General features: G+C 44.7%; 1 protein-coding gene across 2 annotated transcripts in view, besides 3 other annotated features; it reads right to left on the minus strand.

Annotated features, from left to right (window-relative positions):
• Positions 1 to 20,200, minus strand: part of MYO10 (myosin X) — a 274,382-nt gene that overhangs the window by 134,665 nt on the left and 119,517 nt on the right. The gene's annotated exons all lie outside the window — the stretch shown is intronic.
• Positions 9,318 to 9,818: an enhancer, noted in NCBI's record as "H3K4me1 hESC enhancer chr5:16805998-16806498 (GRCh37/hg19 assembly coordinates)". NCBI's record gives its function as "activates a minimal SCP1, AML or CMV promoter by ChIP-STARR-seq in primed H9 embryonic stem cells {active_cell/tissue: H9 hESC(primed)}" and the evidence as "EXISTENCE:reporter gene assay evidence [ECO:0000049][PMID:30033119]".
• Positions 9,819 to 10,319: an enhancer, noted in NCBI's record as "H3K4me1 hESC enhancer chr5:16806499-16806999 (GRCh37/hg19 assembly coordinates)". NCBI's record gives its function as "activates a minimal SCP1, AML or CMV promoter by ChIP-STARR-seq in primed H9 embryonic stem cells {active_cell/tissue: H9 hESC(primed)}" and the evidence as "EXISTENCE:reporter gene assay evidence [ECO:0000049][PMID:30033119]".
• Positions 12,803 to 13,302: an enhancer, noted in NCBI's record as "H3K27ac hESC enhancer chr5:16809483-16809982 (GRCh37/hg19 assembly coordinates)". NCBI's record gives its function as "activates a minimal SCP1, AML or CMV promoter by ChIP-STARR-seq in primed H9 embryonic stem cells {active_cell/tissue: H9 hESC(primed)}" and the evidence as "EXISTENCE:reporter gene assay evidence [ECO:0000049][PMID:30033119]".

Genomic DNA, 20,200 nt, shown 5'->3' on the forward strand with positions numbered 1-20,200 from the left:
CTATTCACTTCTACTTTTACAGGAAATACTAACTCTGATTACCTGGCTTCCAGGCTCAGACACAACTAGGGAAGTCAGTCAGACAGGGGTGGGAGCAGAGAGTCCTGCAACCACCATCAACCACTAACCACCAACCAACTTTTACAAAGCTCGTACAGTGTGTCTAGGGCTTTATGGGCTGTTAAGGGCTGATTCATGCCTTCTCCCCAAATTCACATGCTGAAGCCCTAATCCCAAGTACTTAAGAATGTTACTATGCTTGGAGATAGGGGCTTTAAATAAGTGACTAACTTAAAATGAGGCCATTAGGGTGGGCCCTAATCCAATCTGACTGGTGTCTTTGTTAGAAGAGGAAATTTGAACACACAAAAAGACACCAGGGATGCATACACCCAGGGGGGTTGGCGGAGGGTAACAAAAAACAAGAAAACTAGACAGAAAGTCCAAACATCCTGAGAGCATCTATACCATATTATAGCAATTTGTAATATTTTATATTCATAGTATCAGCCAGGAACATCAAGCAAAGTATTGTTTTGTTCAGTATAACTTTTCAAATGCAAATAAGTCCATACAGGTTGAGTATCACTAATCCGAAAACCAAAATCTGAAATGCTGTAAAATCTGAAGCTTTTTGAGCACCAACATGATGCTGAAAAGAAATGTTCATGGGGGCATTTCAGATTTCAGATTTTCTGATGAGGGATGCCCAACTGGTAAGTATAATGCAGATACTTCTAAATCAGAGAAAATATCAGAAGTCCAAAACACTTCAGGTCCCAAGCATTCTGGATAAGGGTTACTCAACCTGGAATGTGTTTTGGAAATAATATGAAGCAAAAGATTTAAAAAAAGGTTAAAAACATAAAAGATATTACCATATGACCCAGCGATTCCACTCCTAGATACATATCAAAAAGAAGCGAAAGAAAATACTCAAACACTTGTACACACATGTTCACAGAAGCACCATTCACAACAGCCAAAGGTGGAAACAATGCCAAGGGCCCATCATCAGATGAATGGATGTGGCATACCCACACCATGTAATATTACTTAGCCACAAAAAGGAATAAAGTGCTGATCCATGCTACAATGTGAATGAGCCTTGGAGACATATTAAGCCAGACACAAAAGTTCACATATCCAGAATAGGTTAAGTCCATAGAAACAGCAAGATGGGTGGTTGCTAAAAGCAGACAGTGGCAGGAGAGGGGAATGACTGCTTCACTGGTACAGGGTTTCCACCTAAGGTGATAAAAATATTGTAGAACTAAGATACAGGTTGTATGGTTTGAATGTTTGTCCCCTCCTAAACTTGTGTTGAAATTTAATTGCCATTGTAACAGTATTAGGAAGGTGATTACAAAGGTAAGAGCTGATTATGTCATGGGGCTCTGCTCTCATAATGGATTAATGCCATTATTGCAGGAGTGAGTTAGTTATTGCAGAGTGGGCTCTTAATAAAAGAGTAAGTTCGACATGCATTCTCTCTGTCTCACACTCAAGCTTTCTCATCATGTGATGCCTCAGGCCATGACACAGCAAGAGGGTCCCACCAGATGCCAGCGCCATGCTCTTGGACTGGCCAGTCTCCAGAACCATAAGCCAAGTAAACTTTTGCTCCTTATAAATTACCCAGTGTGTGGTATCCTGTTTTGGCAGCAGAAAGCATACTGAAACAGAGTTGTTGGTTGTACAGCATTGTGAATGTACTAAATGCCACTGAGTTGTACACTTCAAAATGGTTAATTTTATGTTAAATGAATTTCACCTTAATTAGAAAAAAAAGATCTGGTGCTTTTATGAGTAAATGTTCAGGTCCTTGGAAACATCAACTCTCTAGAAAACCCATTTTGTCCTGTCGGAGCACTATGGGGAAGATTTGGCCAGAAAAAAAAAGATGGAAGTTGGAAAAAAAAAAGTGTCCTACTCCTTGGGATGCCTCCATCCTCCATCAGTGCCTGGACCACAGACACTCCAGTGCCTCCTTCTATCTAACATCTGCAGAGGTGAGGGAGCAGGCAGACAATACTTGAGGCTGTGAGTGCCTGGCCCCTTCCACTACTTTGTTTAAAATGCCATGTTTGTTTTCTACCTTTTTGATAGTTGTTTACATTATTTTCTTTTTTCTGCTAAGTATCAAAAATGTTCATTTTTACTGTGAAATACATTCTTATTTTTTTCCCTACTGTGACAGGACTGTCACTCTTTATGCAGCCAGGTAGGTCAGAGGAAGCTGACAAGCAACAGTCAACACTGCCAACCATCAACACGGCGGGCTCAACTGAGCACACACCAATCCTCTTCCTCAGTTGCAAGCAGAGGGTGAAAGCCACAGTCATGGGCATTAAGCTTATTATTAAATTTAATTAATTTATTATTAGGATATTCACCCATCATTAACACACCTTTTAAAAAATGATATGCCCATATCATTTTGCATGCCCCATTCATGACACGTTTGTATGGTTGCTGTAAAATTCTAAGATGAGCCTTTCTTTCTTAAGGCACTGATTTACTTATAAAACCATTATTAAAACTTCTTACACAGCTTTCTTCAAAAGAATGATCATGTTTTTTAAACCATATTCCTCCTCCTGGTTGGGGAACCTCACTAGCCATAGAGCATCCTTTTAAGATACTGCTCGTTCTGACAGTGTGGATGACATGGGCTTTGAATGAAGGTAGAAGACAAAGTGGCATTAAGCCTGTTAGCAAAGGTGAAGACGCAACATCCAAAATGGTCTCATGCTTGACTTTTTACAGTAATTCACACCACACCTTGTCCAGTGAAATAGTTTTTAAATGTTTCAGAATGACAATGTAGTAGCTGTGGCAACTAGAGACAACATATGCAACCCAGAAATCAATGTCCACAGGTCCTCTTCCACCAGAATCAGCAGTGCTTTAGAAGAGAAATACTTTTTTTTTTTTTTGAGACTGAGTCTCGCTCTGTCATCCAGGCTGGAGAACAGTGGCACAATCTCGGCTCACTGCAACCTTCGCCTCCCGTGTTCAAGCGATTCTCCTGTCTCAGCTTCCCAAGTAGCTGGGATAACAGGTGTGTGCCCCTACGCCCACCTAATTTTTGCATTTCTACTAGAGACGGGATTTCATATATTTTGGCCAGGCTGGCCTCAAACTCCTGACCTCAGGTGATCCACCCACCTCAGCCTCCCAAAGTGCTGGGATTACAGATATGAACCACTGTGCCCGGCTGAGAAAGGACTCTTAACAGCGGACGCTCCCTGGGGAGGCAGCCCACAGACTCTGCAGAATTATGTGGCATCCTTGCTGATGGTCACGCAGCTCACAAAAGGCATCGGGATACTCTCCTCTGCTAAGCCGAGTCCCTGCCACCCCACACTACTGCCACCAATCAATTCTGAGTCACCATCTTTCAGAAGAAAAGATAATCGGGCATGCTGTGAAACAGAACACTTTACCAGATGGCCTCAAAAAGCACACGGTTCGAGAGTGAAAGACCAAAACCATCCAGCTGGTTTAGTTATAGAAGATGTTAATCATGGCCAATGACCAGCACAGCTCTGGTGGTTGCACACTTTTCCTACAATAATATTGATCTTTGTATCTGACTCTTACAATAAAATGCATGCTTCATCTGTCAGTCAGCCTAGTGAGTTACCATGAAAAAAATATGGTCCCTCATTACTACACATTGTCAATAAATTTAAAATCCCGGCCAGCTACGGTGGGTCATGACTATAATCCCAGCACTTTTGGAGGCCAAGGTGGGAGAACTGCCTGAGCCAAGGAGTTCAAGACCAGCCTGGGCAATATAGGAAGACCCCATCTCTACTTAAAAATATATTTTTAAAATTCTGCATAAATATTAATAACAGACTGTTGCTGCTTTAGGCAAGAAAGCCTTGATTGTTCCCGTTTTGATGAGAAGCTTCTGAAGGGTACAGCATGTGCTCGTGGGTTCTTTACCCAGGTTAGGAACCTGATTTCATCTTTTCTTGAGGATTCTGGGACTCATTCAGGCTCTCCGCCCATAAAAGCGATGCCCACAGCAAGTGAGGAAGACTCTATCTTCTAATCTACAATGAAACCACCCCAGGCTCCTAAGCTTCCGCTGTTCTCCAATCTGCTTGGCCTCACTACACTGGTTCTTTCTCAGCCTTGCCATGCGCCACCCCCGTGGCTGTGTTGGAAGGAAGCGCCAAATCTCCTGTGGAATGAAAGGCTTTTCCTCCAAGGGCCACTATGTCAGGGGGTATTGAAAAGTGTTTTCAGGTAAAAGGTCGTCTGAATGCGTGGTTAACGTAACAGAAGATACCAAGCCAGGCTTTTATTTTGCTTTTCATTTTACACACCATATATCACATCAAGTGAAAAAAAAAAATTCTTTTCCAAAAAGATTTGTATTTCAGTATGTTTAAAACCTTTCACCTTTTAAGGTAAGTAATAAATAAAAGTTACGTGCACCCTAGAAGCTGCCTGCCTCAGATGTGTGACGATCTTTCATGCCCCATGATCTACTTTATAGCTTTAAACTGAACCATGAGTTGAACTCCCCAAATTCCTCAAAAAATGGTCAGGACCCTTTCTGCTTGTTGGGTAGAGAAAGAGCACTTAAACAGCTGCTCCTGATTTTTAAAGATCAATCATGCATTTATTTATTTTTGAGACAGAGTCTCGCTCCGTTGCCCAGGCTGCCGTGCAGTGGTGCAATCTCAGCTTACTGCAGCCTCCGCCTCCCGGGTTAAAGCAATTCTCCTGCCTCAGCCTCCCGAGTAGCTGGGATTACAGGCGCCCACAACCACACCTGGCTAATTTTTGTATTTTTAGTAGAGACGAATGGGGTTTCACCACATTAGCCAGGCTGCTCTCAAACTCCTGGCTTCATCTGGCCTGCTTGCATCAGCCTCCCAAAGTGCTGGCATTACAGGCATGAGCCACCATGCCTGGCTAAGATCATACATTTAATGGTACATGGCTATATTCCAACATGACTCTGTAAGAATGTAGGTGCTACTGCTGTGGTCCTTCTCGTTTTGTGATTCATATTCTGAAAAGAAAAAATTCATACTCTACAAAAATTTCTAAACCTATGGTTTAGACCATATTTCGTACTCTAAACAAGAGAAAACTAAGATACATATGTTCATAACATGTCCGGCATCTGCTGTTTTCAAGATTTTCCTTAAACCCACATCCTCCAAGCACTTTCTTATTCTTTTTTGCATATTGCCACTAACTCAAGGATGTTTTTTCAAACTTTTTATACCATGTATAAAAAATATTCAGTAAACAACAGCCAAAAGGTAGAAGCAACCCATGTGTCTGCCAATAAATGAACAGATACAAAAAATGTGGCACATCCATACAACGGAATTATTCAGCCCTGAAAGGGATGGAAATTCAGACCCTTGCTACAACATGGATGAACCCTTAAGACATTATGCTAAGTGAATTATGACAGTCACAAAAAGATAAACACTGTGCGAGTCCACTTGTATGAGGTATCCAGAATACTCAAATTGATAGAGAAAGTGGAAATGTACAATTCCACTTATATGAGGATCCAGAATAATCAAATTGACAGAAAGTGGAAGGGTGGTTGCCAGGGGCTGGAGATGGGGGAAATGGGGAGCTGTTGTTTAATGAGTATGGATTCAGTTCTGCAAGAGGAGAAGAGTTCTGGAGATTGCTGCAGGGTAACGTAAATATACTTAACGCTATCGAACTGTGCATTAACAACGGCTGTGATACATTTTGTTCATGCATTTTACCAAAATAAAATTTTTTTTTTAGTTTAATAAAGAAAAAAATAGGAGCCGGGTGCAGTGGCTCATGCCTGTAATCCCAACACTCTGGGATGCTGAGGCGGGTGGATCATGAGGTCAGGAGATTGAGACCATCCTGGCTAACAGGGTGAAACCCCGTCTCTACTAAAAATACAAAAATTAGCCGGGCGTAGTGGCAGGCGCCTGTAGTCCCAGCTACTCAGGAGGCTGAGGCAGGAGATTGGCATGAACCCGGGAGGCAGAGCTTGCAGTGAGCTGAGATCACGCCACTGCACTCCAGCCTGGGGGACAGAGCGAGACTGTCTCTAAAAAAAAAAAAAAAAAAGAAAGAAAGAAAAATTAAAAAAAATAAGTAATGCTGGGAATTATGGTGTTGTATAGAATACATTAATCTCTAAGTATAAAGAGAGATTAAAAACAAGCACAGACTTGAGAGGAAATAACAAGAAACATTATGCTCCTTAACTTTAAATAAAAAGTTTTAGAGGTTGGGTGTGGTGGCTCACGCCTGTTATCCCAACACTTTGGGAGGATCACTTGAGCCCAGGAGTTCAAGACCGGCCTGGGCAACACAGTGAGATCCTCTCTCTCAAAAAAAAAAAAAAATTTACCCATGTGTGGTAGCACATGCCTGTATTCCCAGCCACTAGGGAGGCTGAGGTGGGAGGATGGCTTGAGCCCAGGAGGTCAAGGCTTCAGTGAGCCGTGATTGCATCACTGCACTCCAGCCTTGGTAACAAAGTGGAAACCTTGTCTCTTTAAAAAAATTTAAAAAAAAAATTAAATTTAAAAAAAGGCCAGGCCTGATGGCTCATGCCCGTAATCCCAGCAGTTTGGGAGGCCGAGGCGGGAGGATCACTTGAGTCCAGGAGTTAACCAGCCTGGGCACTAATGTCAAAACCCTGTCTCTACAAAAAATACATTAAAAAGTTAGCCAGGTATGATGGTGCACACATGTGGTCTCAGCTACTCAGGAGGCTGAGGTGGGAGGATCACCTGAGCCCAGGAGGCAGAGGTTGCATTGAACCAAGATTGTGCCACCGCACTCCAGCCTGACAGAGTGAGACCCTATCTCAAAAGAAAAAAAAAAGTTTCAGCATACACACCTTCAAATTTGAACCCAAATTAAATAAAAATGTTCTGGTGACAAGCTATAGACTATTCAGGAAGAGAGAACAAAAGGCACTGATATTTTCAGGGAGACAGTAATGTCAGAGTTTAAATAATTAATAAAGATATTATGTTGTGGCTGGCGGTAAATTCAGCAAATGAACTCCCACAAACCAACAGGAACATCAAACGACCAGATTTAATTGGAACCAAAACTCAATAATCTGAAATCTCTTCCTTGAAAAGCAAAAAAGGAAAGAATATGTAAAATGTGTGTCTGGCTGGTACAAAGAAAGAACCTGATTTCTTAAGATTATAGAAAATTTTGCCTCATTGTATAAAAATTACTCAGTAGACAACAGCCCAATATTACTTACTTATTAATAATTCAAAGGCCTCCCTTAGACTACCTACCTCCATTTAGTACCTATGGCCAAAAGGATTGTTTACACATTCGCACACCCACTCATTTGCTCTTCCATAACCCTGTGATGGGCAGCAGAGGTCACTGCTCCTGCCTCTTCTGACAGGTAATGGAACCGGCAAGGGGACAATAAGATATTGTCCCTACGGTCACGGAGCCCGTGAGTCAGAGTGAAGGCAGGAACCCTGGATTTTTGAGAATGTGCCACACTGTGGATCTACAGCGAATGCCTTCTCCATCACCCATCCACCCACAGGGCTCTGTCAGCCTCATCACCTCATCACCTCATCACCATGGCTGACGTCTCCTTGTCCCGTGTGTTCCACTTTTCATTAACTCCAGGGCGACCCACCCACTCCCTTCATCTGTGCTGTCCTGGTCTGCTCAGGGCCTCACCTTGCATTGACTAACTTCCACAAAGGCTCCTTCCTCTGAGATTTCCCTCGGGGTCTTTACCCCCTTAATCCAATCACCAAAAGGTGATACAGCAGCCCAAGCCCTAATGAAGTATTTTCGTAACAGGTCACCAAAGGGAGTGGGGGAAGGGCTTCAGCTCACAGAAGGACTTCACTTACTACTGGGTTTTTACTGTTTGTGTCCATGCACATGACAAATGGCACTTCTGAACCTGCTAAAACAGGGATGTAAAATAACACCGGCAACCATAGTCATAGTTCCCAATCGTTTATTTCAAGAAAGACAAATTATGGTCGCGCGCAGAGGCTCCGGCCTGTAATCCCAGCACTTTGGGAAGCTGAGGCAGGAGGATCACCTGAGGTCAGGAGTTCGAGACCAGCCAAGGCAGGAGGATGGCTTGAGCCCAGGAGTTTGAGACCAGCCTGGGCAATGTGGCGAAACCCCATCTCTACTAAAAATACGAAAATTAGCTGGGTGTGGTAGTGCATGCCTGTAGTCCCAGCTACTCGGCAGGCTGAGGTGGGAGGATCACCTGAGCCTGGGGAGGTCAAGGCTGTAGTGAGCCATGACCACTGCACTCCAGCCTGGGTAATACAGTGAGACCCCACCTCAAAAAAAATTATTTGAAATGTCAAGCATTCTTTGGCAAAAATAATTACAGTCAAGGACATCTTATCTCCCCCATCTTAAACTTACCACCCCACTCTTCAATTTGCATGGATGACTTTGTCACTGAAGTATAGGCTACATGTGTAAGAGGTTCACTGAGTAATAAGAAAAGTTCAACATGTAACGTGAGTAAAAATGGCAGCTGGAGGTGGGGAAAGAGCTAGCTTGTTAAGTGTCAAGTGAAGCAAAGATAAAGTGTGGTAAGAAATTCTGGCTGGGTGCAGTGGCTCACACCTGTAATCCCAGCACTTTGGGAGGCCAAGGCCAGCAGATTACTTGAAGTCAGGAGTTCAAGACCAGCCTGGCCAACATGGTGAAACCCCGTCTCTACTAAAAATACAAAATTAGCCAGGCGTGGTGGCGGATGCCTGTAATCCCAGCTACTCGGGAGGCTGAGGCAGGAGAATCGCTTGAACCCAGGAAGCAGAGATTGCAGTGAACCATCATGGCACTGCACTCTAGCCCGGGCAACACAGTGAGACTCCATCTCAAAAAAAAAAAAAAAAAAAAAAGAAAAGAAAAAAAAGAAATCCTAAGGTCTATGAGACAACATTTGCCATGGGCTCACGTCATTTCTCACTCTATGAAAAGATATTGTTACCGCTCCACAAACGGCCATGATGATGCCATGCAGTTTAAGACTGTGGACACATGCAGCTCCCAAACACGAGGTGGGGCCACGTACCGGTTTCCTCATGTTGGATTTCAAATTCCACAAGAATAAATAAGCTGGTCGGTTTAATGGCTTTTCAGAAATAGGAAGTACATTCTATTTTGAAGCACATAAAAACATTTTCTTGTCAGAAAAGTTCCACATAACTCACCCCCAAAATACATTCCCTTGCCCATTTTAATAATTTGGAACAGCTGCAGCACAAATTGCTTAAAAATGTTGGAGAAGCTCACTTCATCTCTTCAATCTAAAATCTACCAAGTCAAGGTTTTCAAAAGGCCTAAGGGTATAACACCTAGTGTCAAATTTCACACCCCCAAAAAATCAAGTATCATTTGACTTCAGCATGCATATGTATATCAAAATATCATGTTGTGTATCTTAAATACAGCCAATAATTTTTTTTTAATCAAGTGTAACTGGCCGGGTGCAGTGGATCACGCCTATAATCCCAGCACTTTGGGAGGCTGAGGCAGGTGGGTCATTTGAGGTCAGGAGTTTGAGACCAGCCTGGCCAACATGGCAAAACCCCATCTCTATTACAATTTAAAAAAAAAAATTAGCTGGGCATGGTGGCGGGCACCTGTAATCCCAGCTACTGGGGATGCTGAGGTAGAAGAATCGGGAGGTGGAGGTTGCAGTGAGCCAGAGGTTGCAGTGAACCGAGATCACGCCACTGCACTCCAGCCTGGGCCACAGAGTAAGACTCTACCTCCAAAAAAAGGCCGGGTGCGACGGCTCACACCTGTGATCCCAGCACTTTGGGAGGCAGAGGCGGGCGGATCACGAGGTCAGGAGATCGAGACCACGTTAACACGGTGAAACCCCATCTCTACTAAAAATATAAAAAAATTAGCTGGGCGTGGTGGCGGGCGCCTACTACGTAGTCCCAGCTACTCAGGAGGCTGAGGCAGGAGAATGGCATGAACCCAGGAGGAGGAGCTTGCAGTGAGCCAAGATAGTGCCACTGCACTCCAACCTGGGCGACAGAGCAAGACTCCGTCTCAAAAAAAAAAAAAATCAAGTATAACTGAGAAAACTTAAAGTGACTCAGTGGCCTCATACAGGATGCTTATAGAGACCAAGGGACCCAGGTTGGATATCACAATCCCAATGCAGAAATAACTCATCTAAACAGCATGGTTTGGTCAAGTCAGAAGACACCAAGTCCACAGCCCTGAAGAACCTCCCCTGGCACTGCTTCACTCCCCCGGGACTAAGATTCTGATCAGTAACAACAAGGGATCCTCTGTTACCCCACATGACCGCTATGTGCTACAGAAATCAGAGGTATGTATCATCGCTATTGTTAATGAAAATAAAACCACAATGCTTTTCGTCATGTAGTCCTGAAAAGCTGGATGTAGAAGATACAATTTGAAATGCACTGGGGAAATGGGTTATTTAAAGTCTGTGCTATGGCAGCTAAAGGGAAGAGTTGTTAAGAAGTGAGATCCATTATCCAGATTTATTTCGTACTCACCATCCCCCCGTTTCCTTCTCTCTCAAACACCTCGGCTAAATACGGCAGTGACTTACTTCCTAAATCTTTATCTTGAGTGCAACTTCAGCTGTAAGTTACAGATCCATATGTTCAGTGGTCCACTGGCTCAAGCTCAACAGACATGGCTAACCTCCCCCAAACACCTGTTACTTCACACATAGTGACAACTTGACAAATGGCACCACAGCCTACCCAAATGAGTAATCCAGTAATCCTACAGAAATTCAGCTTACTTGGCCCCCAAACCCAGTTAAACACTTAGCATCTACCTCTCGGTATCTCACACAGTAACCCCTCCTAACTGGAAGCCCCTCCTTTCTCATCCACCACCCTGTGACCAAGTGACGCTTCCCCAAAACGCATGCTTAAAGTTATCCCCTACAGCTTTCATGAGTCCGTTCAAGCTCACTGAGTTGCACAGAGCCATTCCTTCCTCCATTGCTCTCGACCGCCTTGCCAGCCAGCAGCATGCAACCTTTGTTCTGGCATCTAGAATGTCCTGCGTTGGATATTAAATAACAATGCATCACAATATTTCCGTCTTTCCACATGATGATCTGCTGCCAGGACAGCTATCCTCCTTCTTGGCCAAATTCCTCTACATATGCTCAAAACTCAGGCCAACTATTAATAGCACCTCAGTGAGGAATCATTTTCTGACCCTCTCATCCCCTCCTCATTGTGACGCTCCTTCTTTGTGTTCCCATGTATTTTTATCACACCCATTGTCACCCTGAGCTATTGTTCATCGTTTGCCTGTGTCTGTCTTCACTAATCAATTAGGGACCTTTCATTTACTCAGTCTTTCAACAAGCCATTCCTGTAAGCCAGAGTCATTCTGCATCCCTGGAGCCTAACACAGAGCCTGGTACCCAGGCAGGGCGGCATCAGCATCGATATGCTGAGGACACATGATTTCACCACCAATCCACCAAATAAATTCATGTTTTAACTGTCTTCTAGTGCTTTATGCCCACTATCTTCTACATAACCCAATTGTCTGATGTTGTCCAATTAAACAATTAGAAACATTTCAGCCACGTGTAGTGACTCATGCCTGTAATCCCAGCACTTTAGGAAGCCCAGGTGGGAGGATCGCTTGAGGCCAGAAATTTGAGACCAACCTGAGCAACACGACAAGCCTCCATCTCTACAAAAAATTTTAAAAATACAAAAAATTAGCTGGCTGTGGTGGCACGCACCCATAGTCGCAGCTACTTGGGAAGCTGAGGTAGGAGGACTGCTTGAGCCCAGGAGTTGGAGGCTGTGGTGAGCTATGATCGCACCACTACACTCCAGCCTGGGCAAAAGAGTGAGGTCTAAATAATAATAAATAAAAATAAAAAATAAACACTTAGAAACAATTTTTTAAAAATCGTGAAGCATTCAAGTTTGTTGAAAATTAAACCATCTCAAGAGACAAGCTGTTAACTGAAGTCAAGGTCTTCAAGGTAGAGGCTGGCATTTCCATTTCACCTGAGTGACTTTCTGACTAAAATTCTCTCCTGATTGAAAGGAATGTATCTTTTTTATTATTATTATTTTTGAGACAGTCTCACTCTATTGCATAGGCTGGAGTGCAGTGGCACAATCTCGGCTCACTGCAACCTTCTCCTCCCAGGTTCAAGCGATTCTCCTGCCTCAGCCTCCCAAGTAGCTGGGACTACAGGCACCCGCCACCACGCCTGGCTAATTTTTGTATTTTTAGTAGAGATGGGGTTTCACCATGTTGGCCAGGCTGGTCTCAAACTCCTGACCTTGTGATCAGCCTGCCTCGGCCTCCCAAAGTGCTGGGATTACAGGCATGAGCCACCACGCCCAGCCTTGAAAGGAATCTAAACCCAAAGAGAGACAAGGAAGAAAAAAAAAAATCACAAAAAAACAAGTTTCAAATTGCCACTCTCATGTGCTGATGTGGAAGCGGCCACTCCGGAGCATAAATGTTTGGTAAAGTTTTAAAATACATATAGTCAGACAGATGGTTACAATCATCTTTTGGCTACGAGTCTTGATTTCATGTGGAAAAAAAAAAAAGCCAAAAAAACCCAGAAAGTCCTGACTGTGTTCATCTGCCCCAAGTGTGTTCAAACTGCACTGCGTTCATCTGTCCCAAGGGCACCCCAATGCCAAGGCAGTGCTAACCAACCAACCACGCGGCCTTCAGGCCACGCTGCCTCCGTGAGAGGCGCGCTGTGACTTGACTCGAGCCTTGGAAAGGGATGTAAACAAGCCAACCAAGTCTACCTTGGGAAGACTCAACTCAAGAAAATGAAACACAGATTTCAATTTGCAAGATTCCCAAACAGTCCAGTCCACGGCAGGGTATGCCCAGCCTTCACATGGCAAGCAGGCCGTGACTTCCCTGCAGGTGAACTCTGTTCAACCGGCTGCTAAAATCAATAGGCCTTTCTCTGGCTGATGCCTGCTAACACATTTTGCCTGACAGATGCAGGCTTCAAAGTTAATTCAGAAGCAACATCAAACACATTTGCAGATTTGGGCTGGAATGCCACCTAACCAAAGGAGGATATTTTTGAAACATCTAAAAATACATTAGCTGTGAAGCATAGTTCGTGCTTACTGAAGCATTTATCTTTAGAAACAGCCCCATTTCTTAAAATTGGCTCCTTTGATTCTGATCTCTGTGCTGTTTGTTCGGCAAGACAAACAAACTAACCAAAAGGCTGGGTGGAACAGGGAAGAGCTTCCTCTGGAGCCAGCCTCAACACCATAATTGCAGGCGACCGCTGAAGTTCCCTGCAGCTCTCCCCGTGATGTGGTTTTGAGCCATTCCTTAGAGACTGGGAGAGGAGTCTCCTCTGCGCAACTGACCCAGAGCTCCACAATCCCTGTAATGAAGAGAATGTGCTTCTCTTCCATTCAGCAGGAAACAAAACTGCCACGCCTCGGAACCTGGCAGCCCTTCCACTCTGGCCACTGAGCTTGCCTTCGGTGCAACAGAAACCTCTCCTGCTCTTGTCAACACTGTGCTTAGATGCTGGGTACATAATAATTTGAGATGATCCAGGGCCAGAGAGCACAGGAAGACAGAAAACAGGCACCTAAAAAACACTTGTTCTCACTCTGCTCAGGAGCTTCCAGGACGGTGCCACGTTTTCACAGCCACAGCACTTGACAAGACCGGGAGACAGTGACATGGAGCCTCTTCCATCACCTCCCTCCCTACAGTCCCCATGACTTTTCTCCCATCTCTACCCTGGTCTAAAACCCTCAGCCCTCCCCTACTGAATTACTGCAACACGCCCTCAGCCCATCTGTCCTTTCTCATCTCAGCCATATCACTTCCCTCTTAAATCTTCTGAAATTTTTCTTAGAGAAATTCTCCTTTCAGAAACCTTTAAACAGACTGGGTGCAGTGGCTCATGCCTATAAATCCCAGCACTTTGGGAGGTCAAGGTGGGAGGATGGCTTGAGGTCAAGAGTTCAAGATCATCCTGGACAACATAGCAAGATCCCAGTCTTGACAAAAATTTAAAAATTAGCCAGGCGTGGTGGTGCGTGCCTGTAGTCCCAGCTGCTCTAGAGGCTGACCTGGGAGGTCAAGGCTGCAAAGAACTATGATCACACCATTGCACTCCAGCCTGGGTGACAGAGCGGGATCCTGTCTCTAAAACAAAATAAAGGCCAGGTGCAGTGGCTCACGTCTGTAATCCCAACACTTTGAGAGGCCAAGGCGGGTGGATCTCCCGAGGTCAGTTCGAGACCAGCCTGGCCAACGTGGTGAAACCCTGTATCTACAAAAAAATACAAAAATTAGCCGGGTGTGGTGGCGGATGCCTGTAATCCCAGCTACTCAGGAGACTGAGGCAGAAGAATTGCTTGAACCCAGGAGGCAGAGGTTGCAGTGAGCCGACATGGCACCACTGCACTCCAGCCTGGGCGAAAGAGCAAGACTCTGTCTCAAAAAAAAAAAAAAAAACAAAAAGAAAACTTTAACAAATATAGTGGGGTCTGTGTACCATCAGCCCCAAACTTTCCAGGTGAGCTGATGGTAAGTGGGGGGGGGATGTTCTGGCACCACTGACATCTTAGGCCAGATGACTCTGGGGCTGCCCCAGGCACTCCGGGATGTTTCTCAGCATCCCTGGCCTCTACTCAGTAAATGCCAGTAGCGTCGCTTGACCGTAGCTATGAGACCAAAAATGTCTTTTAGATATTACAAAATGTCCCCACGGCAGAATCATCCTAGGTGGGGAACCAATGGTTTAAGGCTTCTAACCTCAGGCTGCCCATCCCACCTAATTTCTGCACATTCCCCAGCCAGCATCTGATTCCATGAGCAAAGACAGCCTTCTCCCGCTGCGATGAGGCCGCATCAAGCTCACTCTCAGCTCTCCATCTTCATGTATGGTGTTCACTGGCCTTTCCTTCTCATCAGTTCTTTTCTTTTTCTCTTTTGTTGAGACAGGGTCTTGCTCTGTTGCCCAGGCTGGAGTACAGTGACACAATCTCGGCTCACTGCTGCCTCAACCTCCCCGGCTCAGGCAATCCTCCCACCCCAGCTTCCTGAGTAGAAGGGACTACAGGGGCACGCCACCACGGCTGGCTAATTTTTGCAATCTTTTGTAGAGATGGGACTTCGCCAAATTGCCCAGGCTTGTCTTGAACTCATGGGCTCAAGCGATCCTCCCGCCTCAGCCTCCCAAAGAGCTGGGATTACAAGCATGAGCCACCATGCCAGGCTTTCTACTCAACCCTGATTGATCTCATGCCTTTGTAGCGTCACCACCACCACCACCTCCATAGGGCTTCCTGAGCCACACATAGGTTATGTCTCTGTACCACAAACACATACCCTGCTCCTCCTCTCCTTAGCGGGTATTTGCCCTTGCCAGGTCTTAGCAGGCGGTGACAGGAGATGAAGAAGTCTAGGCCCTCATCAGACCCATTCCAAGGAAGGGGACAATCAGGAGAGAGCCAACCCCCTCTCCTCAAGGCAGCAAACCCATAGCCAAGAGGTTCAGGGTGGAAACCTGGGGCCCCTGGCTGGGAACTGGGAGCAGAGCAGGGCTCTAGTCTTGAAGTGGCCAGAGGAAGGATAAGATTGATGAGGGGAAGTCTCAGGCAGGAAGAGCCTGGGGTTCCAGGAAGAGAATCTAACAGGGGCATAGAAGGCCGGGCTTCTGCACAGGCAGTTACAGCCAGCGCAGAGGGGCTCTAACCCAGGCACTGCAGCTTAAACCACGCAGTCCAGACCTATGGACACTGGCATCAAACTCGGTACGGCCTCTGTCCCCTCAGCGACAAGCCTGGGACAGGAATGCACCCACAGGAATAGCTAAAGGGCCCAGCGGTAAGGTTCAGGGGCTTCATAAGCACACTCAAACCCAAGCCTGTGTCATCATCACATAACCCTCAATGACAGGACTTCAGCTATCCAAGGCCATGTGCTGTGAGCTGGCCTTGGTGTTATCTCCCCACTAAATTGCAAGCTTTGAGGCTAGGGATGATGCTGTAAACTTCTTCCAAATCCCCCTTAAAATGGAGCCAAGTTCGAGGCAGGAACTTTCTAAATAAACACTTGTTGCTATGAGATGGCTAAGATGGAGACAAAGGTACAAAGGTTAAAGTTCCCAGAGCTTTCACTTCTTTTACTTTAAAACATCCCTGTTAAGAGGGATTATGATATCTGACCTTTGAAAACACGTTTATTTTAAAAACTGGTGTTCAGAAAGATTCAATTATCAATACGGAGCCAAAGAGGAGGTTAGTGAAGAAAAGGGAAGATCAACTCTAACTTGACTATTCTGGGTGCTTTTATTTTTTTTTTTTTTTTATCACTTTCTACCCCATTTCAATAGAAGATGCCAAAAGCTACAATAAAAAAATATTTTCCTGGTTTCTGACAAAGTTCTCAGATAAAAAGACCAGTCCCCAAGGAGAAAAAGCTAACATTACTCCTTAGCAAAGAATGGCAGCCTCTCTACCTGGCGATGAGCCACTTGCCAGCAACCCATGGAACCTGACAGCTCAGAACAGAAAGTCAACAAATAATGAAACATCCAGACGCCAGCAGGGGGAAAATGCCACAGGAGTCCCTCCTCAATGATATGACTCAAAGGAGAGTACCTGGCTGGATGCGGAGGCTCATGCCTGTCATCCCAACACGTTGGAAGGCCCAGGAGGGAGGATCACTTGAGCCCAGGAGTTCAAGACCAGCCTGTGCAACATAGCAATGTTTTATAAATTTAAAAAAATTAAAAAAACTTAAAAATTAACCAAGTGCAGTGGCTCACACCTATAGTCCTATATATTATATACTGTAGTACTATATATATACTCAGGCGAGAGGATCACTGGAGCCCAGGAGTGAGTTAGAGGCTGCAGGGAACAGCGATCATGTCACTGCATTCCAGCCCAGGAGACAAAGTGAGACCCTGGCTCTAAAAAAAAAAAAAAACCAACAACAACAAAAAAAGGAGGACACGTATGGTGGGCAGAATAATGGCTCCTCCCGCAAAGACATCCATCCACACTCATCCCAGAGCCTGTGACTAGATAATGTCACATGGCAAAGGGGCTCTGCACAGGTGATTATGGTTATGAAGCCTGAGATGGGGAGATCATCCAGGGAGGCCCAATCTAATCATGTGAGGCCTTAAAAGCAGACAGCCTTTCTTGGCTGCAGTCAGAGAGAGAGAAAGAAGACAGTGGAGGAGAAGGAGGAAAGATTTGAAGCCATGAGAGGGAAACAATACATGGTTACTGGCACTGAAGATGAAGAAAGGGAGCCACAGATCAGGAGACCAGGGAATGTGAGCGGCCTCTAGAAGCTGGGAACAGCCCTCAGGTGACAGTCAGCAAGAAAACAAGGACCTCAGTCCTCCAACTGCAAGTAACTGAATTCAGCCAACGACACAATGAGCAGGAAACGGATCCTCCTCTAGAGCATCTGGAAACAGACGCAGCCCTGCTGACCCTTTGATTTCTGCTGGTGAGACTTATGGGACTTTCAACCTACAGAACTGTAATCTTCATTTATTTATTTTTTCCTGAGACGGAGTCTCGCTCTGTCACCCAGGCTGGAGGGCAGTGCGCGATCTCGGCTCACTGCAAGCTCCGCCTCCCGGGTTCACGCCATTTTCCTGCCTCAGCCTCCCGAGTACCTAGGACTACAGGCGCCCGCCACCACACCCGGCTAATTTTTTTGTACTTTTTTTTTTAGTGGAGACGGGGTTTCACCATGTTAGCCAGGATGGTCTCGATCTCCTGACCTCGTGATCCGCCCGCCTCGGCCTCCCAAAGTGCTGGGATTACAGGCGTGAGCCACTGTGCCTGGCCGTTTTGTTTTTTTAAGTTGGTACACTTATGGTAACTGGTTATCCAGCAAAAGAAAACTAATGCAACATCTCTGGAACAATTCAAGTCATTTTATTTTTTTTCTCTTTTAAAGATATAGACAGGCATTGCTCCGAGCCAGGATCAAATGTGGAGAAGCAGTGGCTGTTCTGACAGGTGGCGGTCTTGTCTCGATGTGAGCGGAGTCCAACAGACGCTGACATCTCCGGTGAATGGCTTCAATGATAATTTTAAAAAATCATGGTGGCTGCTTTATGGATAATATACAATTTTGCAAGCCTCAAACGGAAGGTCTACAATGGCATAATTAACTGAACTGAACTGCAAATTGGATGCACAAAAATCCTACGGGTTTCCCCTTAGAAAGGAAGAATATGACCTTATTCCAAGACCAAGATCTTATTCATAGTATGTATTGGCAATTTAGCTGTCAGGTTTAACATTATTATCATGAAAAGAGGAAAATAAATAAAAAACTTTTTAAAAGGGTCTGCCTTTTAAACCCTTGTGTAGTTTTTTTTTCCTTCTAATTTACTTACTTTTTCTTGACTATTGAAAATGTACAATAACAACTTGTGTCTAGGTGGGCATGCTGGCACGTGCCTGTAATCCCAGGTACTCAGGAGGCTAAGGCAGGAGGATCACTTTAGCTCAGGAGTTTGAGTCTAGCCTGGGCAACATAGCAAGACACTATTACAAAAAAAAACAAACTTGTGTTTTTTCTCTAATGACAGCAAAGTATGAGTTTCAAAATATAGATTGAGCATCCCTTGTGTGAAATGCCTGGGACACAAAGTGTTGTGGATTTCAATATTTTTTGGATTTTGGAATATTTGCATACTATGTACTGGTTAAGCATAATTTAAGTTAAATTCAAAATCCAAAATATTCCCAATGAGCATTTCCTTTCAGCAACACATCAGCATGCAAAATGTCTTGGATTTTGAAGCATTGTGGATTTGGAGTTTTTGGATTAGGTATATTCAACCTATCTGCACCTACAAGAGACATACACCAATAAAAAATTTTAAAATCCAGGTTCACATTTTATCAACTACAAGACTTTGTAATATGAATGGCATTTATTTTATAAACATTTATTGCACAACTACCAGGTGCCTGGCAGTGTCCTTGGTTCCAGGAAGACAAAATAAGTCCTTGACAAACCTAGCAAAGAAACTGCTATGTAAACAAATAGTTACACGACAGTGTCAAATATTTAATAATAACAACACACGCACAGTGCAGCGGTCATGTGGATACCTATGCAGTGGTATTCTATGGGAAAGAGGTGGTTCACTGGTCATCTACAAGGGGATCTTTGAGATGAGAACAGAGAAATAAATGCACATTATGCCAGCTCATGCAAAACACAGAATGCATCGCCACTTTCACACCAACAGGTATAAACATTACCTTTTCTGAACATATGGAAAATATTTTAATCTAAAGACAGGACAAGCTAGCTCAGCAAGTCAGAGGAAGACAGCATGATTGAATTTCTCTGGACAGGGCTGTTTGAAAACATTTGGCAAACATTAGGTCGATTTGACAAAAATGACACTTTCACAGTGTAAAAAAAAAAAAAAAAAAAGGGCGGGGCACAGTGGCTCATGCCTGTAATCCCAGCACTTTGGGAGGCCGAGGCGGGCGGATCACAAGGTCAGGAGATCGAGACCATCCTGACCAACATGGTGACCTTGTCTCTACTGAAAATACAAAAATTAGCTGGGCGTGGTAGCACACGCCTGTAGTCCCAGCTACTCGGGAGGCTGAGGCAGGAGAATCACTTGAACCCAGGAGGCGGAGCCTGCAGTGAGCCAAGATAGTGCCAGTGCACTCCAGCCTGGTGACAGAGTGAGACTCTGTCTCAAAAAAAAAAAAAAAAGGCAAATACACTCTTTTTTTTTTTAACTGAGGAAAATTTAGCAGTTTAAACCCATAAATATATAATTCTTTCTCTTTCCCAGCTCCTTTCTCAGTCTAAGGGTAGATAAATTGGAAGAACCTGAATATTAAGCATGCCTTGAGTTTCAATTAGCACCTACTATCCATTTTAAGGCTGATTTTTCTTTTTTTTTTTTTTGAGATGGAGTCTTGCTGTCGCCTGGTTGGAGTGCAGTGGTGCGATCTTAGCTCACTGCAAACTCCGCCTCCCAGGTTCAAGCGATTCTCCTGCCTCAGGCTCCCGAGTAGCTGGGATTACAGGCACACGCCACCACGCCCAGCTAATTTTTGTATTTTTAGTAGAGACGGGGATTCACCATGTTGGCCAGGATGGTCCGATCTCTTGATCTCGTGATCCG

This window comes from Homo sapiens, chromosome 5 (assembly GCF_000001405.40).
Source record: "Homo sapiens chromosome 5, GRCh38.p14 Primary Assembly".
In the NCBI taxonomy this organism is placed as follows: domain Eukaryota; kingdom Metazoa; phylum Chordata; class Mammalia; order Primates; family Hominidae; genus Homo; species Homo sapiens.